Raw genomic sequence first — 21,720 nt, 5'->3', positions numbered from 1 at the left:
TAGACTTTATATAAATGGAATCGTTTTGTAAGTACTCTTTGTATAACATTATGTTTGTGAAATATATCACTTTTGTAGATAGCCATAGTTTGGCCGGGCATGGTGGCTCATACCTGTAATCCCAGCACTTTCGGAGGCCGAGGAGGGCGAATCATGAGGTCAGGAGTTCAAGACCAGCCTGGCCAACATGGTGAAACCCAATCTCTACTAAAAATGCAAAAAATTAGATGGGTGTAGTGGCGGGTGCCTGTAATCCCAGCTACTCAGGAGGCTGAGGCAGGAGAATCACTTGAACCCAGGAGGTGGAGGTGGCAGTGAGCCAAGATTGTGCCACTGCACTCCAGCCCGGGCGACAGAGTGAGACTCCATCTCAAAAAAAAAAAAAAAAAAATGCTGGGCATGGTGGCTCACGCCTATAATCACAGCACTTTGGGATCGCTTGAACTGAGGAGATGGAGGTTGCAGTGAGCTGAGATTGCGCCACTGCACTCCAGCCTGGGCAACAAGAGCGAAACTCCATCTCAAAAAAAAAAAAAAAGCAATAGTTTGTTCTTTGTCATCATTGTATAGTATTCCATTGTATAACTATACCAAGATTTATTTGTTCTACTGTTGACAGACATTTGGGTGGGTTTCAGTTTTTGGCAATTGTGTGTAAAACTGTTATAAACATTCTTTAACATACTGCTTTGTGAATATATGCATTTATCCTCCCAGGCAGAGAGAGTGGCACATTTCTACTGTAAAAGGTCAAAGAGTAAATCCTTTAGGATCTACGGGTCATATGGTTTCTGTCTGTCGCAATTATGCCATTGCAGTGCCAAAGTAGCTCTAGAGAAGACATAAACAAATGGATGTAGCTGTGTTTCAATAAAGTGCTATTTACAAAGACCAGATTTGACCTGTACACCATAGTTTGTTGAACCTTGCTCTGCTCTTAGGTATATACCAAGGATTGATAATGCTGTGTGTTGGGTAATGCTGTGTGTTATATACCAAGGAATGGTAATGCTGTGTGTTAGGATGTTCATTATGTTTTACCAGTTTTCTAAAGTGGTTGTGTCAATTTACACTCCCACCAGCAATGAATGAAAATTTCATATATTCACCAACATTTCCCAAATATTTTTAAATTCCTGAAAACATTGTATTTTCTGTCATTTGTAAATCAGTGCCATTATTGCTATAGTAGTAAAATATTATTTTTTTCTTCTCTAAGGAGTCATTATGTCAATGACCTATCATTAATGCCTCTTATTCTTGCAAAGGAATATTGAGGACCCCTACATTGTGCTTTTCTCTCCCTTTAATTTGATGTAGACAAAGAGCACTTTATTGGCAGTTGGGAGACCTAAGCTTAACCATGCTATGACTTTAGTATAGGCACTTCTGTGTCTCATTTTCTTTTTTTTCTTTTTTTCTTTTTGAGATGGAGTCACAGTCTGTCGCCAGGCTGGAGCGCAGTGGTGCAATCTTGGGTCACTGCAACCTCTGCGTCCCAAGTTCAAGCAATTCTCTTGTCTCAGCCTCCCGAGTAGCTGGGACTACAGGCATGTGCCACCATGCCCAGCTAATTTTTGTATTTTTGATAGAGATGGGGTTTCACCATGTTGGCCAGGATGATCTCGATCTCTTGACCTCTTGATCTGCCTGCCTTGGCCTCCCAAAGTGCTGAGATTACAGGTGTGATCATTTTCTTAATCTGTGAAATGGGGCTAATAACATCTGCTCTGGCTATTACTCTGGGTTTTTATAATAACAAATGAAACAAAAGATGGATCAAATTAAATGACAGAAAACTAATTACACTACACCATAACAGTGTGCTAGACATACTGTTATGAAACAGTATGTTTAACATGATCCCAACTGGAGGAGTGGGGTAGGAGAGGGGCAGGGGGTGGTGGTGATGAATATTTAAAGGCATAGAAAAAAATGCTAGAAGAATATTTCCCAAAATATTGAGGTGCAATTTTGGGGAGATGATCTAGAGCAATAATTTTTTTTTCTTAATGTTCTGCAAATTTCCCCAAAATTTCTCACGTAAACGTGAATTACCTATATAATCAGAAAAAAAGTGAATGTTTAGAAGTACACTGTAGATTGAGAGGCTGCACCTTCTCCCCCTCGCTGGGTGGCCTCACTTGCACTCTGTTGCTTGATCCTTGGCTGAACAAATCAACAACACAAACTAACAACAACACAAATACATAGACTATGACAAAGTAAGGAATTATCATGATGGGCATTAATAAGCAGCGGGAGGCCTCTGTCTTTGGTTTTGTAAAATGTGATTTTGAGTATTCTGTCAGCACTTAGGGGCTTTTGAAATATTATATTGTGTCAGGGCTTAGCAGTGGAAATAAGCCAAGAAAAGGTGCCTCAAAATTGCCTGAAAGCAGATGACAGAAGCAGTTTGCTTTGCTGGGGATCCTCAGCCTCTGTCACTTTGGGGCTGCACAGTGGAGGGAGGTGGCAGGAGCATTGCTGTGGGTGGCAGAGGCCTGTCTTAATGCCAGTTTCTGCAGTGAATGCTGCAAACATCAAGAATGCAGAAGTGGCCCAGGCAGGCTCATTGGCACTCTAAACAAAGCCCGACCCAAATTGAATGTGGAAATGAACTTTGAGGAAGAGTGTAAGGATGTGGACAAGTTTGGCTTTCTTTATAAAGTGACCGCTATCTTTCCTATATTTAAAATTTACAGAAAGAAACTGCTACATTTTTCCTTCAGGCCATGGTAAAGGTTAGAAGTATGAAGTATGAAGTATATTTTCCAAAATGCAAACCTTTCTTGTTTTTCAAAGCAAATACAAGCTGTTTTATGAAGAAGTGCTGGCAAAAGTCCAGAAACTAGCACAGAACTGAAATCAAGGTTGAAAAGAAACGATTCAAAGGAAAACATCTATTTAAGTGGGAACCACACCAACACGTGGGATTTGGCTCCCACCGGAGGCAGCCCGCAGACACCAGGTGTCACGTTTAACTGATAGTGCTTGTTGCTGACCCTGTGGGTGGCAGGAAGGAAGAGGAGTGACTGTGGCATTCGGCAGAGGATGAGCTTTGTCCTATCACTGGCACAGAAGCTGAATTCTTAGATGGCTCGACCACGGGGTTGTGTGGTGAAAAGGGGGATTTCCACTTTCAAAAATAGTATGACTTCAGTTAGGCTTGAAATTGCCTTTTTGGGAAGTTTATTATATTTAGAAACCCCCATTCTCCCCACCCCCCAGTGGCTTTTAAAGTCCATCTGCAGCATGGCACAAGTCTTCAAAAGTTTATTGACTTAATTTACCCCGGGGTTTGGAATCAAGATGTTTTCTTAAAATGTCTGAAACAACCATTGCATTGACAAAAATACATTTTAATTAAAATGCTGAAAGTAGTAAAATGGCAAGGGACCTTTTTTCCTCTTCAGAGTTCTCTCTACTTTTCAAATTGCCTATTTTGTGGTTTTCACAAAGGGTATTGATATCCCAACTCTGGGCAGTGTGCTCTGCTTGCTAGCTTCTGGGAGCCACTGCCTGGAGTCAGGCAGCCACAGGAATCTCCATGTCACCTAGGATGTCAATTACACAAACTGCAAAAGTAGAATCAACTAAAAAAATTCAATAATGAGCATTTTTGTTTAAAAAGTAAACATCAATGTATTGCATTTAGAAGAAAAAAAATCCTTGTAAAATGTAGTAGTCCCGTAAGGAAAGATGAGTTTTCAAAGATGAGCTTTTCATGGAGGCTAAGATGACAGCCCGCTTCCAGTTCAGCAGGAGCCCCTTGGTATGTTTGGCCACCCAGCACAGTGCAATGTGAGAAGGCAGGCAGATTATGTATCGTGGATTTAATTTTGGATTTAGGGAGGCACATGGTCTGCCCAATTCAGTTTCCATTTTTTTCTGTCCTCCCTGAAAACAACTTTCTGTGCAACTTCAATGTGCTGTTCCTCTCAATAACTCCAGCCTGTGGCTAATTTGGACCAGGACAAGGAGAAAAGCTCTTTCTTGCTATGAGTTGCTAAAGGATTCATAGAAGCTAATTCTTCGCCTCCATTTGAAAAGTGGAAGGAAGGTAAAGAATTCCTACTGATCTCCTGTTTCCTACCTTGGAGCAGTGATGTCAAACTCTGTAATCAGTGGTAGTAGCTTTGCATCACATTACTTCAAAATATCTCCTTTACCTGATCACCATTAACTTGAAATCGCTGATTTTTTGGGTGCAATCTCTGCCCCAAGTTTCCACAGAATGTTTTATAACAAATCTTTTGGGTTTTTTTCTTCCCAACTTATTAATCATTTGCCAGCATAAGCAGTAACATGACCAGCAGACAGTCTTTTTGGGTAAACCTCTGACTACCTTTCTCTGTTGGTGGAATTTAGGAACCATGTGTAGCAATGCAACAACTGAGCCTGCCAATCTCTAATGAGAGCTTGGGACATTTCAGGCTACTCTTTGGCCTTAAATTCCTCTCCTCTCATGGAAACTTTCCTTTCATCTATCCTATCCTTTTCCAAGGCACATTCCAAGATGTTGACCAACTGATCTATTAATGAGCTTCTGGGAGTAAGTGAAAGGGAATTTAGGTGCTTATAAATGAAGTCTTACAAGCCCAACCCCTTTGTTGACTCAGAGGGCTGTAACTACAGCTGGCACGGGGGAGGGGAACTGGTCCTGGCAGGTCAGGATAAAGAGGTGTTTTGAATAATACCCCTTCCCCTAAAAGGTGGGCTTGGTTTAGTGATGGTGATCCACCCCACACACTGTACTTGGAAGCCAACCAGCAGTCTAAAGTTTGGAGGTAATTTTCTCTCCGAAGCTGGGCCCCATCCCCCTTTTCCCTCCAGCTTTACCACTTTATTCTGAGTCAGGTCCAGTTTTGTTTATGTTTTTCAGAGGGCCACCTACAAATATCAGCAAAACCCCTAGCACAAAAGAAGAGATCAATGCCTGTGTCTGGGGGTTAGGGAGGAAGTGGGCTCGAAGGGGAGGAAATTGGAGCAATTTTGGGAACAAAGCACACAGCCGGAGGCCTGAGAGGAAAACTTCGGGTGGGCAGGACACTTTGGGGGTCCCAGTCCTGTATGGAGAGGAGCTGGAGTCTGGTGGAAAGGGAGGGGAAAGGCAGAGTGGCAGAGCAGGTGATCCTGCCGCGTCATCAACAGGGAAGGCTGGCAAATCGTATCACCTTTCCAGGACTCCGTTTCCTATTCGGCAAATTGAGGGAATTAATTGCTTTGGATCAATGCTTTCTCTCTGAGGTTCCTTCATCTAGCTTTGCATTTCAGCAAGATGAATTTCAGTGGAGCTTCTAATCCAACAGAAAGCTCTTAAAGAGAAACGTCGACAGGTCCTGGAAAGTGAATACTGACGGGATTCGTGAATGGCGAGAAGAAAGAAAAGACTGAGGACTGAAACTGTGAGGAGCAATACAGAGGGGTGGGTGAGGGTGGCTCTGCTGTGCACTAGCTGTGCCACCTATGGCTGTGATAGCATCGCTCTGAAGCTTTCTCAGCTATAAAACATAAAACCGGGATAATACCAGGACCTGTTGAATTGGTACCTGTGCACATTGTGAGGTTAGCTGACAATGAATGTGAAGATCTTAGCTCAGAGCCTGGCACATTGGCGAGAAATGTTGGCTGCTGCCGTTACGCACATGAGGATGAAGTCACGGGTAAAGGAAGGAGAAGAGCACATTGAAGGCTTTTGAGGGTGCTGTGGCTTAGGGAAACTCCCACTGGAGGTACGTGATCCACAGAGAAAATGAAGCAGTCTGGTAAATCAGAAAAGACCCTGATGAAGGAAACCTATCAGAAATAGATATCCCAGGCCAGTGCTATGCCAGGTTACATTGCAGCCTGGAGCAAAAAGAAAACTCAATAATATTGACCTCAGGTTTATTTAAAATTATCATATTTTGCTCATCATGGATTTTTTTTGCATTAGTGTCTATTTTTAAAAGACACATTAAAATACTAGTTATCTTGGTTACTGAGTTTTTGGCCATCTCCTTAAATACTGTGCTCAAAAGCAAGTGCTTCACTAACCTTATCCTAGTCCTGGCCTTGTCTAAAACAAGGCTGAAGACTTGATCAGTCATCGAAGTTGATTCTATAACAAAACGATAGTAATTTGGTATAGAAGACCCAGAGCCATCTAAATGATTACAACAGCAAGGACAGAAGGAAATATGTCTTTTTTTCTACTGACAATGGAAGAAAAGTCTGAAAATACGAAATACCCCATCCTAGCACCCACTGCCATAAAAAAAAAATCTGGGCCTCTCAGACCCAGATTCTAGGAAAATTACTACAGCATCATTAACATAGTTTTGCTCCAGAATGCCAGGCATGAGAAAACTCCAAGGAAGCTTTCTAACTTAGGGAAGGAACATGAAATGCTTTACAGGATTTGAGTAGGAGGGGGTAGGTCAAAGTTCAGCTAGCTCCAAAGCTAGGTGGTCCAGGAAGGTTCTCTGAAGAAGGAAGAGCTGTTCTTACACAGTAGCAGCTATTGGGCAATTTGGATTTTATCATGATGAATGAAGAGAAACAGAGGCTACAGTCTTGTGCAAAAGAAGGTGTGGAGAAATAGTTGCAAAGGATAGAAAAGGCAAAGGCCATTGTGGATGATGCACAACCCTTCAGGGCCCCCCTCAGATCTGTCCTGGGCGTTCACAGGCGGGAGTGTTCTAGCAGATGTCCAGCAGGAAAATCAACATTTTCAAGGAACTTCTGATTATTACCTTACAGCTGGTGGAGGGAAAGGATAGATGACAGTATCTTGGAAAGTTCTTGTTTCCCTTAGGCTCTTATCTGATTTCAAGAGAGACAAAAGCACCATTCACAGCTAAAATTATAGGCAACATAAGCTGCAAACCCACGCAACAATGCTCACTTCCAGGCTCTATGCTAGACCTGGGGCTGCTCACAAGGGCCCTGCCCAAATAGCTGATGCAGCAAACTCCAGGACACCTAAGTGACCAGAACACAATGGGAACAGTGCTTTGCTATCTATATCACTTCACAGAGCATGGAAAGGGTTTTATTGTGAAGAGATTTTACATGTATTACCTAGTTTTGATTTGCACTATGGCACTGTGATTACAGCGACAACTTTTAGCCATTGAGTGGTTAAGTGGCTTGCCCAGTGTCACTCAGCTGGTTCAGAAGAAGGCTGAGGACTGAGTTTTTTAATTCCCGTACTCCAGTTATTTCTAGGAGGCCACATAGTGGAAAAATTTGCAGCTAATGTACCCCTCTGACCCTGTAAGACCTCTCCTTCTTTCCAAAGTCATCATGGTGCTTTTGTTCCCTGACCTCCCCGAAACAGGCTGGGAAAAGGGCAATAACCTGAACCCATCAGCCAGTCTTCATGAGCCAGAGTCCACCAAGCTTCCTTTCACCCCTTCCTTCTTACCTTCATCCCAGGGAAATATCAGCATCTAAGTGACCCCACCACCAGCCACCAAGTAAATTTCTGACTGGGCTCTGTGGTCTAATCCTGGTTCTTTCTCTACTGGAAGGGAAATACAGCAGAGGAAAATCCCCAGTGTGTCCCAGACAGTATTCAAATGTATTCATTAAGTGATAAAATATTGGTTCAGAGCCAGGGACATCATCATCATTATCATTGTCATTATCAATAAGTGCTGGAATTAGAAGGAAAATAGAAGACTCTCTGTCTTCAGGGAATTTCTTGTAAACAGGGGCATCATAGGGAGATTTTTAAACAGGCAATCTCTACACTCTTTGATTGCTGAGGGGCAAAACCGAGTCAAGGTGCAATGGGAACAGAGAGGAAAAGGGGCCATGATCTCCCTAGGGGTCTAATGAATAAATCCCCTGGATGCAGACCCCTTGTGAGGTTGAGGCCACGTGTACGTACATGTGTGGAACATTCTGAAGGAGGTTCATTATATATAAATGAATCTAACTTAATCTTTTAGAATTCTGCTTGGGGCTACAGGGTCACCCACATTTCTATGGCCAGGATTGACCAAAGAATTAAGTAGTTGAATAGGACATTCAGTGACAATTTTGACTTTATCGTGTCCCTGGGGCATGGTGCTCTGATCTGCTTTATAATCAGAGTAAAATGCAAACACAATTTGTTGAATGCCTACGCTGTGTCAGCTAGTCTGGGCACTCAGGTAATTTCTGTGAACAAAACAGAAAAACGAGGCTTATATTCTAGTGGTGTAAGTTGGAGATCATCTCAAATGACCTATGTTTCCCTTGAGCAGTGGTTCCCAAGCTGCCCATCAGAATCACTGGGGGACCTTTCAAAAAATTCCAAAACCTGGCCAACCCAGGCCAAATTCAGAATCTCATGGGTGGCTTATAATTTTTTTAAGTTCCCCAGGTGATTCTCATGTGCAAGGTGGGTTGAAAACCACTGCCCTCGAAATTCTGGTGGACTTCCCTAAGGAGGCATGTCTTCCCCGTCCCACTTCCCACCACCCTTCGAGAGTCATTTATATAAATCACAGATGAGGAAACCCAGACCTAAAGGCTCAGAGTGACATGTCCAAAAAAAAGGGGCACATCGAGAGGGTCACCAGGCCAGAACTTGAACCTAGGTCTTCTGATTTTAAGCCTAGTGTGTTTTTCATCACGTTGAAAGAGTTAAGAAAACTGAATATTGTTATTGCCTATAGCAAAAATCGGAGGGGTCTCCCAGGGAAGAGAGGAGATTGTCTGCAAGCCTCCTGGTCACTTCCTGTCATTCATTAAAAACTTTAGCACCTGGACCAGTCTTCATTCTTCTTAGAAATGTGAATATTCAGGGGCATATTCAACATAGAGCCCATTGAATGGGCTCTTTCCTGGGACCCCCTCATTGCCAATACATGTTTTCTACACTCTACCTCAGCCATCCACTCCAGCTGCCACCCGCTGGACATCACTGCTACTGCTACTTCAAATAAGAACTTCTCCAATGAGAAAGTGCACAGGCTTGAGGTCCCTCGCTGAAACCGTTCTCCAATCTCAGCAGCCTTGGTCAGACCACCAATGTACTCACTCGCTTTTTTTCTTTTTCAGCACCTCCCTCTTTCATTTCCCTTCATGTCTGGTTTGCATCCCTTGGGCCATCATTTTCATCATTATGGGGCAAGTACCATATTTGTAACTCCCATGCCCACTTCTCTAAACACTCTTTCCCTCGAACACCAGCCCACACACCTGCTGTTATTAATGTCTGAAGCCCTCTTCCCATACCATTTTGTCTAATTCCTAATCATCCTTTAAGTTTCAGTTTAATTACTTCGACAGGTCCTCCCTGACCCTTCAGTCTAAAGGAGGGACCCCCGTGTTACACCACTCCTTCTCAATTCTTATCTTAAGTTGTATTTCTACATGTATTTTGGTGTTTTGTTTAACATCTCTTTCCCTAGCAGGCATGGGCTTGGGGTTCTCTGTTTTGATTACTGCTATATCCCCAGTGATTGACACACTTCTGGCACGTAACAGCTACTTTATAAGTACATAAATGAATGAATGAATTAATTAATTAATTTATTCACTCAAAGTCACCCAGGGTTATTTAGTGGCAGAGCCACAACTTACCCATTTGACTACAGTTTGACCTTTGAGATGATTTTTACAATTAAATTTTGCAGTTGAGCCCCCTCAGATGCTCACTTGCATAGGCCCTGTTGACTGGACTCTGCCAGAGGTAGAGTTTGCCCAGTAATGAATCCTAGAACCCCATGTGTTCTACATGATAGCATCAAGAAATTGTCCATGGGGATGAGATATGAACCCAAGAGGCCAGAATGCATTGCAGCGGAGCTGAGAGTTACACGTTTTAAGAAGCTATGCCTCTGGCTCTGCTGTCAGCCCTAGATGGCACCTTTAATTCTTTCCTAGTCTAGGTCAAAGATGCCTTGCTTAATATGTCATTTCTCTAATTCAGTAGTAAGTGGGTCCTCTACAATGCGATTTTAAACTTTTCTTCACATAAAATGTTTGTTTACATAGAAGGACCTTTTAATTCCTGAATGTCCTCAACTGCTCTTGAAAAGCTCACCTTCAGACTGGGCCCCCCAGCTTTTATATGAGTCATTATGAAAACTTTTTTCCCTATAGGTTATTTGAGATCCCTCAGAAATCTCAAACATGTGTTACTTCTTTGAATATTTATTTAGGTTCTGAAGGAGAAGGCTGAGCTAGGGACCTGGAGAATGAAATAAGGTATTAGTATCTACTGCCTTAATTGGTTAATTGATTAAGCACAAATGGGAGGCTGACTGTGCTCAGAGTTTTATAGAGAGTAACAAGATGAATGAGTTGGAAAGTTTGGGACAATTGACCATCCAAAAAGAACTAGAGAAGAAAGGTCCCGTTTGTTGTCTGCGTGGTGTCCCACCAAGGGCAGCACATGACATGCGCTTCTGTCACTCACAGGTGTCCAAATAGAACACACGGTTGGGTGGCCTTCTGTAACTACTGCTTTCAAGTAGCCTCTGTAACCTTGGCTTCCAACCTCACACTGATTTTTATGCTTGAGCCCCTACCCCTAGAGATCTGATGAAGAGGAACTGGAGAAGTTGAATGTCTGTAGCATCGAAAAGCTCCCCAGGTGAATCTGATGCTCTGCCAGCATTGGGTATTTGCCACCTTCATAGACATCTCTGAGCAGGAGGCCTTTGGTGATTTAGGTTACTGATGGTATGTATTTTTTTAGTGTCAGAGTCATCTAGGCACTGCACTTTAGAGAGTCCAGTGTTTCACAAACACTCAAAAAAACAGAACTCTATTGATGAACACATGGTTGCCTTTGTTGCTTGGAATTTGCTGCCCAGTGCGGGCCTGGTATATAACCCATAAACCTAGACATCCATTCAACAAGCAATGCTCTTCAAGCCCCACGGAAGCTCTGCAGTGTTAGGGGTGGGCCTGCATGACAGCACAGAAATCCAGGTCTTTTCTGAGGATAAGTCCCACTAAGCTTATCTTTTTCACCCTTAGCCTATCCTTATTTTTCTGCCTCCCAAACCAGCTAGACTATCTTTTAGCTCTGCTAAGATGTTTTGATAAAAAAAGGAATGATCCACTGGAAGTTCATTCTCAGAAGGTCTGTTTCCTTTTGATAAAGAACCCAGGGAGAAACGAACTGGTGAAAGCTGTAACCTTGCTGGGGCTGTTAGTCTTTATTGAACCATGAATTCCCCTGGACGGAGGCCTAAGCAGAAATCCCTCATTCTTTACATAAATAAACAAATAAATAAAATATTTTGGCTGGTACCTAACAAAAACACACACAGGCAAATCAAGTTTAGCACATATCCTGGAAACTCCCAGCTTTCAAACTTCAATAAGATAGTCGCAGGGTATCCAGCCCAATTAAGACATATACACAAAATCCCCTTTTCGCTTAAAAAATAACAAATAACAGGGTCTTTTTCTTTATTCTAGACCCTTTGGTTGCGGTTTAGTGGCTAAGACTGAGATTAGTGAAGAAAAATATTACTAATCTGAAAACTTTTTTCTTGGGAGGAAAATGCCATGAAGTATCAAAATGTTCTAAGCAATTATTCAAACAACACAACACAAAACAACCAGGCTAAAAATGATCTTCCTGCAAAGGGATTTGTCATGCTTGGCTCCTGTGCTTATTTCAAAAGGAATGAGGGAAAATAGATGGGCATCATACCCCCACTCTGGCCATATGGTTTTAGTTTTATTTGGATCAGTTTGAACAGAAACTTTGAAAAGCAGAGACAGGCAAACAGACAGAAAGAAAGAAAGAAAGAAAGAAAGAAAGAAAGAAAGAAAGAAGAAAGAGAAAAAGAAAAAGGAAGAAAGAAAGAAAATAAAAGAAAATGAAGAAAAGAAAAGGACAGAAAAGCAGCGATTGATCGGATTTCTGGCTTTCAAATAATGCCAAACCAGGATATATGCCCAGCCTATTTTGGTCTCAAGGCCCAAGGCCAAAATCACATAATGAAGAATCCCAGCAGACATAACTTATTTCTAGTGGCATACATTTCCCATTTTGAGTTTAGAAACTCTGGTCTAATGTGACAGAGGTACATATTTTAAGATCTTTGGGGCCCTTTTGCTTTTCTTCAAAAGCACATAATGCAGTAATTCTCATGGTGGGGGTGGTTTTGCTCCCCCTAGGTGCATTTTACAATGTCTGGAGACTTTTTTGGTTGTCACAGAATGGAGATGGGAGTGGGTGGGGATGGGGAGTGGGCATTTTCTAGTCTGGAGAAATCAGAGATATTGCTAAACATCCTACAATGCTCAGGACAACTCCCCCAACCAAAAAATATCTGGCCCAAAATGTCAATAATGCCAAGAATGAGAAACCCTGACATAATGGGCCCCCTTAGCTGACTACAGAAGTTACTGTATGATGGACACACTCCCTGGGAAGACAGAGATTAAATAATTACAGCTATTATTCATTGAGGGTTACTTGTGTACCAGATGCTTCATGCACATTAACATTTTAAATTAATAGACTTTAATTTTTAGTGCAGTTTCAGGTTTACAGAAAAATTGCATAGCAAGTTCTCATATGACTCCTCATCCACCCCTCAGTTTTTCTATCACTGACATCTTGCATTACTGTGGTATATATACTACAATAGATGAACCAATACTGATATATTATTATTAACTAAAGTCCGTAGTTTACATTAGAGTTCACTGTTTGTGTTGTAAATTCTATGGGTTGTGACAAATTTATAATGTCATGTCTCCACCATTATAGTATCATAAAAAGTAGTTTCTTGTCCCTAAAATCCTTTGAGCTTCTCATATTCTTCCCTCCCTTCCTCCCCCCAAATCCTTGGCAACTACTAATCTTTTTACTGTCTCCATAGTTTTGCCTTTTCCAGAATGTCATTTAGTTGGAATCATATAGCATGTAGTCTTTTCAAATTGGCTTCTTTCACTTAGCAGTATGCACTTGAGCTTCTTCCAAGTCTTTGTGACTTGGTAGTTCATTTAGTCTTAGCATTAAATAATATTTCATTATATGGATATACCACATTTTGTTTATCCATTCACTATTGAAGGACATTTTGGGTGCCTCAAAATTTTGGCAATTATGATGAATACAACTTCTATAAACATTTGTGTGCAGGGTTTGTGTGGAAATAAAATTTCAGCTTATTTGGGTAAGTATCAAGAAGCGCAATTGCTAGATTGTATGGTAAGAGTATGTTTAGTTTTCTAAGAAACTGCACACTCTCTTCCAAAGAAGCCTTGCCATTTTGCATTCTCATCAGCAATGAATGAGGGTTCTGTTGCTCCACATCATTGCCAGCATTTGGTATTGTCAGTGTTCTGTACTTTGGCCATGCTAACAGGTGTGTAGTGGTATCTCAGTGTGGTTTTAATTTGCAATTCCTTGATGACATAAGATACTGAGCATCTTTTTATATGTTTCTTTGTCATCTGTGTATCTTCTTTGGTGAGGTGTCCAGACATTTTGCCCATTAAAAAATTTGTATTGTTTATTTTCTTACTGTAGTTTTAAGAATTCTTTGTATATTTTGCACACCAGTCCTTTATCAGATATGTGTTTTGCAAAGATTTTCTCTCAATCTGTGGATTTTCTTTTCCTGTTCTTAATAGTATCTTTCACAGAGCAGGAGTTTTTAATTTTTATAACATCTAACTTATCAATGTTTTCTTTTAAAGGTCATGCTATTGGTGTTGTGTCTAAAAATTGCCAGTTTGAAGGTCCGTTAGATTTTGTCTTATGTTTTCTTCTAGGAGTTTTATAGTTTTGTGTTTCACATTTATGTCGATGATCCATTTTGAGTTAATTTTTGTGAAAAGTCTAAGATCTGTGTCTACATTGATTTCTTGACTGTTCCTTGTGTACCAGAACATTTTATGTATATATATATATTTTTTTGAGACAGAGTCTCGCTGTGTTGCCAAGACTGGAATGCAGCGGTGTGATCTTGGCTCACTGCAACCTTCACCTCCTGGGTTCAAAGGATTCTCCTGCCTCTGCCTCCTAAGTAGCTGGGATTACAGGTGTATGCCACCATGCCTGGCTAATTTTTGTTTTTTTAGTAGAGACAGGGTTTCGCTATGTTGGCCAGCCTGGGCTTGAACTCCTGACCTCAAGTCACTTTGGCCTCCCAAAGTGCTGGGATTACAGGCATGAACCATTGCACCCAGCCGATGTACATTATTTTTAATCCTCATACTTGTTTTCAAGATTGGTACTTTCATCATTTGAAACTTGAGGAAGTAGAGGCTTAGAGGATTAAATATCATACCTGATTTAATTATGTACTAAGTGACAGAAGTGAGATTGAAATTAGGTGTGTCTTGAGTCTGACTCCCAAAACCATAATTTTTCTACAACACTATGCACTCTTTCAAATGAAAACAAAGATGCTTTTTAGAATGGATTTGTAAAGTCTAATCTTTCACTCTAAAAATCCATATCCATTTCTGGGCAAAATTTATTTTGAAATTAAATAGCTATTTTAAGGGATACTAGAATATTGAGACCCACACTGTATAACAGAAATACAGGGCTTGATTTATCCAATAAGCTACAATGTATGCAGTTAAGTAATTCAAGAAGAGACCACAAACACTAGTGTGGACCCTCAAAATGTTGTGAATGAGATGCTGTTTCAATAACAAAGATGCATTAAAGTATGTTACCTAACAAGTACCTGGAGGTAGGGAATCCAGTCCAGCAACATCATCAGAGACACTTGCTCTCTCTCACGTTTAGTTCTATAATTCTTAGTGGGCTACCCTTCTGTCCTCATGCTTGTTGGTTCATGATGGAAAAAAATGGTTGGTCCATTCATCACAGCTATACTCTACACAGAAAGAAGGGGAAGAGAGTGGCACCTGCCTCCTTCTATTTATTTTATCTGGAAAGAGACAGAGACCCTCTGATACGGTTGGCTGTGTCTCCACCCAAATCTCATCTTGAATTGTAGTTCCCATAATCCCCACACGTCGTGGGAAGGACCCAGTGGGAGGTGATTGAATCATGGGGCAATTACCCTCATGCTGTTCTTGTGATAGTGAGTGAATTCTCACAAGATTTGATGATTTTATAAGGGATTTTTCCCCCTTTTGCTCAGCACTCCTCCTTTCTGCCACCATGTGAAGAAGGACATGTTTGCTCCCCTTCCACCGTGATTATAAGTTTCCTGAGGCCCCTCCAGCCATGCTGAACTGTGAGTCAATTAAACCTCTTTCCTTTATAAATTACCCAGTCTCAGGTATGACTTTGTTAGCAGTGTGAAAATGGACTAATACACCCTCTCACAAACTTTCCTTTACATATCATTGTGTTACACGGCTGCTTTTAGGTGTTCTAGACTCTGTAATAGAGGCTGGCAAGAAACTAGGGGGCTGAAAAAAGGTATTGAATATATCCACTTAAAAATATCTGTGACTGGGCATGATGGCTTGTGCCTGTAATCCAATCACTTTGGGAGGCTGAGGTGTGTGGATCACTTGAGGCCAGGAGTTCGAGACCAGCCTGGCCAACGTGGTGAAACCCTGTGTCTACTAAAAGACACGAAAATTGGCCAGACATGATGGCACATGCCTGCAATCCCAGCTACACAGGAGGCTGAGGCATGAGAATCCCCTGAACCTTGGAAGCGGAGGTTGTAGTGAGGCGAGATCATGCCACTGCACTCCAGCCTGTGTGACAGAGTGAGACTCTGTCTCAAAAAAAAAAAAAAAAAAAATTGCCTTGGGAACCTCTTATCATAAAAGAGTCCTTTTCTTTCATCCTATCTCTTGCCCAACCTGTTACTGTGTATAAAGGGACCCCCAGCACAATGACTGCTTAAACTTCCCCTCCAATTCTGGCTTCTCTAATCATTAAGTACAGTTTTCTCAGACTATATATATTTACTTAGAGAACCACTGGAACTGCCCACAGAACCTCAGTAAAGAAGATAGATTGGTGAAATGGGAACTGCTACTTTAGAGAAAGAGGCCCTCCATTGGCTGTCTCAAATCCTGGCATCGTCACTTAGAAGTCACTCAGTTCAATGAATTCATAAGCACCACATTAGTGCCAGGGAACACATCAAAAACAAAGAAGAGGAATATATACTAAGGGAAAAAGGATCCAATTGTTACATTAAATCTCAAATTTCCTTTTCTCTGTGGTCATCTTCAATACCCAGTAGAGTACACATTCAGATGAATTTCGGAAGTCCTACCCAGAGTAATCAGAGAAGAGAAAGAAAAGAAAAGACATCCAGATAAAAAAGAGGAAGTTAAATTATCTCTCTTCACTGACAATATGATTCAATACCTTGAAAACCCTAAAGATTCTGCCAAAGGACTTTTAGACGTGATAAATGACTTCAGCAAAGTCTCAGGATACAAAATCAACATACAAAAATCAGTAGCATTTCTATATGACAATAATGTTCAAACTGAGAATCAAATCAAGAATGCAGTCCCATTTAAAATACACACACACACACACACACACACACAGAGCTACGAATACATCTAACCAAGGAGGTGAAACATCTCTATGAGGAGAACTGCTGAAAGATTCCATCACTGCTGAAAGAAATCATAGATGACACAAACAAATAAAAAAGCATTCCATGCTCATGGTTTGTAAGATTCAATATTGTTAAGATAAAGTAATCTACATATTCAATGTTATTTCCATCAAATTACCAACATCATTTTTCACAGAATCAGAAAAACCTATTCCTAAATTCATATGTAACCAAAAAAGAGCCTGAAAAGCCAGGGTAATCCTAAGCAAAAAGAACAAAGCTGGAGGCATCAGATTACCCAACTTTAAACTATACTACAAGGCCACAGTAACCAAAACAGCATGGTACTGGTACAAAAATAGACCTATAGACCAATGGAATAGAACAGAGACTCTTGAAATAAAGCTGCACAGCTAAAGAATACCCAATCCAATAAATGGTGCTTGGACAATTGGCTAACCATATGCAGAAGAATGAAAATGGACCCCTACCTCACACTATATACAGAAATTAACTCAAGATGGATTAAAGACTTAAATGTGAGACCTCACACTATAAAAATCCTAGAAGAAAACTTAGGTAATACTCTTCCAGACATTGGCCTAGGCAAAGGATTTATGATGAAGACCCCAGTACAACACAATAAAAAAATAGACAAATGGGACTTAATTAAACTAAAGAATTTCTGCACAGCAAAAGAAACTATGAACAGAGTAAACAATCTACAGAATGAGATAAAATATTTGCACACTATGCATCCAATAAAGAGCTAATATCCAGAATCTAAGGAACACAAATAAATCAACAAGAAAAAAACAAATAACCCCATTAAAAAGTGGGCAAAAGACATGAACAGACACTTCTCAAATGAAGAAATACAAGCGACCAAGAAACATGAAAAAATGCTCAACATCACTTATAATTAGAAAGATGCAAATCAAAATCACATGAGATGCCATCTCATACCAGTGAGAACGGCTATTATTAAGAAGTCAAAAAATAACAGATGTTGGTGAGGTTGCAGAGATAAAGGAATGCTTATGCAACGTTGTTTGGAAGGCAAATTAGTTCAGCCCTCATGGAAGGCAGTTTGGAGATTTCTCAAAGAACCAAAAATAGAATTACCATTTGACCCAACAATCCCATTACTAGCTATATACCCAAAGGAAAATAAATTGTTCTACCAAAGAGACAACTGCACTTGTATGTTTATCACAGCACTATTCACAACATCAAAGACATGGAATTAACACATATGTTTATCAAAAGTGGACTGGATGAAGAAAATGTGGTACATATACGTCATGGAATACTACATAGCCACAACAAAAGAATGAAATCATGTCCTTTGCAGCAACATGGATGCAGCTAGGGGCCATTATCCTAGGCGAATTAATGCAGAAACACAAAATCAAATACCACATGTTCTCACTTATAAGTGAGAGTTAAACATTGGGTACACATGGGCGCAAAGATGGGAACAACAGACACTGGAGACTCCAAAAGCAGGGAGATTGGAAGGTGGCAAGGGTTTAAAAATTACCCATTGCATACTATTTTGGCTACTTGGGTGACACGGTCATTAAAAGCCCAAATCTCAGCATCACACAATATATCCATGTAACAAACCTGCACATGTACCAGCTTAATCTAAAATTTAAAAACAAAAAACTAAGGTATTTCATCATCTGACCTGATGTATACACATATCTTTTTATGTTCTCACAGGTTGTTAGTACTAACAGCATGCGGACCATTATATGAGTTCAGCACTAAGACTACAAGTGACCTTATACTGAACCAAGAATGTCTTTCTAGGTCAAGATTGGTCTATGCCAGAGGCATTTAAAATCCAGTGCAAGACAACTGCTTGGATATATCAGTGTAAGTGTGAGCACGTTAGTGGGGGCACAATACTGTGAAGCAGAATGATTTTTTGTAAGTACAGAACACAATACATTCCTTTTCTCAGGAAGCCTACCTTTTAACTGGGGAGATCACTCACTCACGCTGACAAGTTGAAGGGGGCATTGGGAATATAAATGCTAAAGAGATGCACAGAGGGGTGATCATAAACTTGGATGGGATTAATCAAGTCTTTTAGCAAGAGGTAAAATTTTCAATTATATTGATAAATGCAAGACTGCTTTTGGATGTAGTTCAACTTGATTTCAAAGAGCTTAATTAAGAGAGTTAAACATGATGGAGGATATAGTAGACAGACAAAAAAGGAAGCAATCGTGCCTGTCGGATAAATTCATCAGTACACCCTCAGGGCCTGCCCAGGAAGAATCCCTAAACAGGAAATGAATTAAAATGAAAAGCATGGCCACCAGAGAAGAAGAGCTCAAGGGGCAGGATGGAGATAATTTGGCCCCGGGATTCTGTTGTTTCCCTAACACATTCCCTGACTGTCCTTCTGCCAATGGACCTGCTTTGTAGCATGAAGGTGTTTCCCCAGCACGAACGAATTGTGAAGATGCCAAAAAGGAACGAAGCTTTAGCCATCAATCTTCACTTTCATTCATTTCCTAAATCTGCTTGTTTTTCTGCTTGGCTTGAAGGGAGAAGGGTTTTTTTTCTGAAGAACAGCCTGGTGACAGACTGTGGCTGTCTGAAGCGTAGAGGGGGACTCGCACTGCAGATGGCACCTGGTCTGAGTGTTTCAGCTGCAGCCAGCTGAAAGTTGTATGGCCAGACGGGGCATTTCACATCCTTTAACTTCATTTCGGTTCAATCAGCATTGTCCAGTGCCTACACAGAGGTCGCCCTCTAATGTGGAGGCTGTGCTGGGCATTGGGGATTAAGAGGTGAATGCGGCATGCTTGCACTGTGGGGTTCACAGTGGAGTCTCTAACAGAAGTGTCTGAACAATGGAGGTAGGAGATCAGGGGAACACAGTGAGGGGCTCACAGCCCCCCATGAAGGTCATGGGAGACTTGTGAGTGGGCAATAAGCATTGAGTGCCGGTAAAGAGCACTTTTTAAGAATGAAAACAACTAAGCCTTTGTTTACTTATAGGAAAATAAAATGGGAATAGAAAATATCCTGTTGCTAAAAGGACGATTGGCCGGGTGTGATAGCTCACATTTGTAATCCTAGCACTTTCGGAGGCTGAGATGGGAGGATTGCTTAAGGCCAGCAGTTCAAGACCAGCCTAGGCAACATAGTGAGATCCTGTCAACAAAATACATAAGTAAAAATTAGCTGGGTGTGGTGACGCATGCCTGTAGTCCCAGCTACTTGAGTGTGAGACAGGAGGATCCCCTGAGCCCAGAAGTTTGAGGCTGTAGTGAGTGATTATATATCTACTGTACTCCAGCCTGGGTGACAGAGCAAGACTTTGTCTCTAACAAAACAAAAGAATAAGATGATTGGGTTGGGGGGAGACTTTGAAAAAGTTATAGAATTTGTAGCTACATAGTTCAACTGGTGAAAGCAATGAATAATCCCCAAACGATTCATTTATAGGTGCCGCAACAACAGCTACGGCTACATTATACTTGAAACTAGAAGTTTTAAAGTGGTAGATGCTAAGGCAGAAACAAGGAACCTAGAAACCCTGTAAGCTAAGTAATACCTCTGGAAAAACATAGTATGATATTGTAAGAAAAAATAATATAAATATGTATGAATGTGTTGGCCTTATTTTAGAAGGTAGAAATTCCCTGGGTTTGTGTTTCTATAAATGGATTATACTTTGGAAATTGTGCTTGAAGTCATAAAGGGAAGAGGAGCACAGAAGAGCACAGAAAGGGACCTCAGCCAAAACTGGGACAAGAGTTTGCAAGTCACTGTGGTTTGGCTTCCCCCAAGCCATCCTCAGTCCCTTCCTCCTTTCCCTCCTCCCAGGAGGCAAGCAGAACAGTCATGCAATCTCTTTCCCACCCTCCCCTGGAGCTGAGGATGGCCATTTCGCCCATTTCTGCTAAATGAGGCATTAAGTAGATTTGCAGGAGGACATTTGGGAAAGTTATTTTGCTTTCTGATTAAAAGGACAGAACCTTTCCCTTGCCCTTGATTCCAGCTTGAGATGCTGAATTGAGGACAAAATCTTACAACCATGAGGCAAAATCACAAGGACAAAAAACAACACTTAGAGGTTAGCAGCCCTCTAAAGGACCCTGGAAGGGACTACCTCCAGACTTCTTGTGAACATTACCACTGAAAACATGAATTTTTCTGTATATGCCAATAAAAGCATTCTTAATTCATATAGAAGGATTAAGAAAAATGCCAACTGGTAGAAGCAGGATTTTCTGATCTCAACCCTGGCCCTAATCATACACCTTCCCCTTCACCATTTCAGTTAAGGTAGATGGATGTTCTACAACAGATACATAAAATATACGTGAATGTTTTATAAAAGCAGATAAATAACTGATGCTTATTTTCTATTTATGTATGCACAGCTTTTATTGAAGAAGAAAAGAATTGAGGAAGGAACTGAATTGTAGATAAATAGATCACTGAGGAGAGTTATAGCATGTCTGCCTATGATGTCTTCAGTAGTTGCCGTCTTGTTGAGAGTTGGGATTGAATTACCCGATCTTTTGAGATCCACTTGCACTGTCAGAGTAGGAGCATCTGAGCAAATGGGAAGGCTGTATTCTTGATTTCCTACATTTTGCTTCATTTTTCTGCTGGAGGTGAGCCCCGGATATTGGTGTTCCGTGTGCCTCTTCTTCCTCTTCTGTCTGCCTTCCTCTGTTTTGACCTCTTTCTATCCCATCAATTTCTCACTCAACAAGTGCCTAACTGGCATCCCTACCTGCCCCTCACAGGGCTCCTCTCTGCCATGGCACTGCTCTTCCTCCTCGTGTGCCTGCCTGTTCCCTTGCCTGGCTTCTCTCACACTTTCTCTCCTTTCCCTCCTTTTTGTCCTTTTCATTTTGTTGTGTTGTCCCTCCCTCTCCTCTCCCCCTCTACTCCTTCCCTCTTTTCTTTAAAGGGAAAGGACAGGTAATAAACCATGAACTTATACCTTCTATTGAAAATACTCATGATTTGTTAAGCAGATTACTGAGCAGAATTGGAGATACCAAAGATGGTGATAAAATGATGAAATTCTCACATCCTCTACTTTTCATAAACTGACACGATTTAACCTTCTTCTACTTTAAAACCACAAAAGGAGAGAGATTTTCTTTTACTCCTGCTTCATGGGTCTCCTCTCTTGTGCTCAGTTCCTGTCTTTATCCAGCCTCATTTTTCTTTGGAGAGCTCATTGTGATCATCTAGAGTG

General features: G+C 41.0%; 2 annotated features.

The window, feature by feature from the left end:
- Positions 3,036-3,275: an enhancer, noted in NCBI's record as "active region_25157". NCBI's record gives its function as "activates an Ori minimal core promoter by ATAC-STARR-seq in GM12878 lymphoblastoid cells {active_cell/tissue: GM12878}" and the evidence as "EXISTENCE:reporter gene assay evidence [ECO:0000049][PMID:35858748]".
- Positions 4,121-5,320: an enhancer, noted in NCBI's record as "P300/CBP strongly-dependent group 1 enhancer chr6:138246817-138248016 (GRCh37/hg19 assembly coordinates)". NCBI's record gives its function as "activates an origin of replication core promoter dependent on BRD2, BRD4, P300/CBP, MED14 and CDK7 cofactors, with strong dependence on P300/CBP, by STARR-seq in HCT116 cells {active_cell/tissue: HCT116}" and the evidence as "EXISTENCE:reporter gene assay evidence [ECO:0000049][PMID:35650434]".

This window comes from Homo sapiens, chromosome 6, assembly GCF_000001405.40.
Source record: "Homo sapiens chromosome 6, GRCh38.p14 Primary Assembly".
NCBI classification, from domain to species: domain Eukaryota; kingdom Metazoa; phylum Chordata; class Mammalia; order Primates; family Hominidae; genus Homo; species Homo sapiens.
The sequence above is the reverse complement of the archived record's forward strand: the minus strand, read 5'-3'. Positions and strand labels throughout refer to the sequence as shown.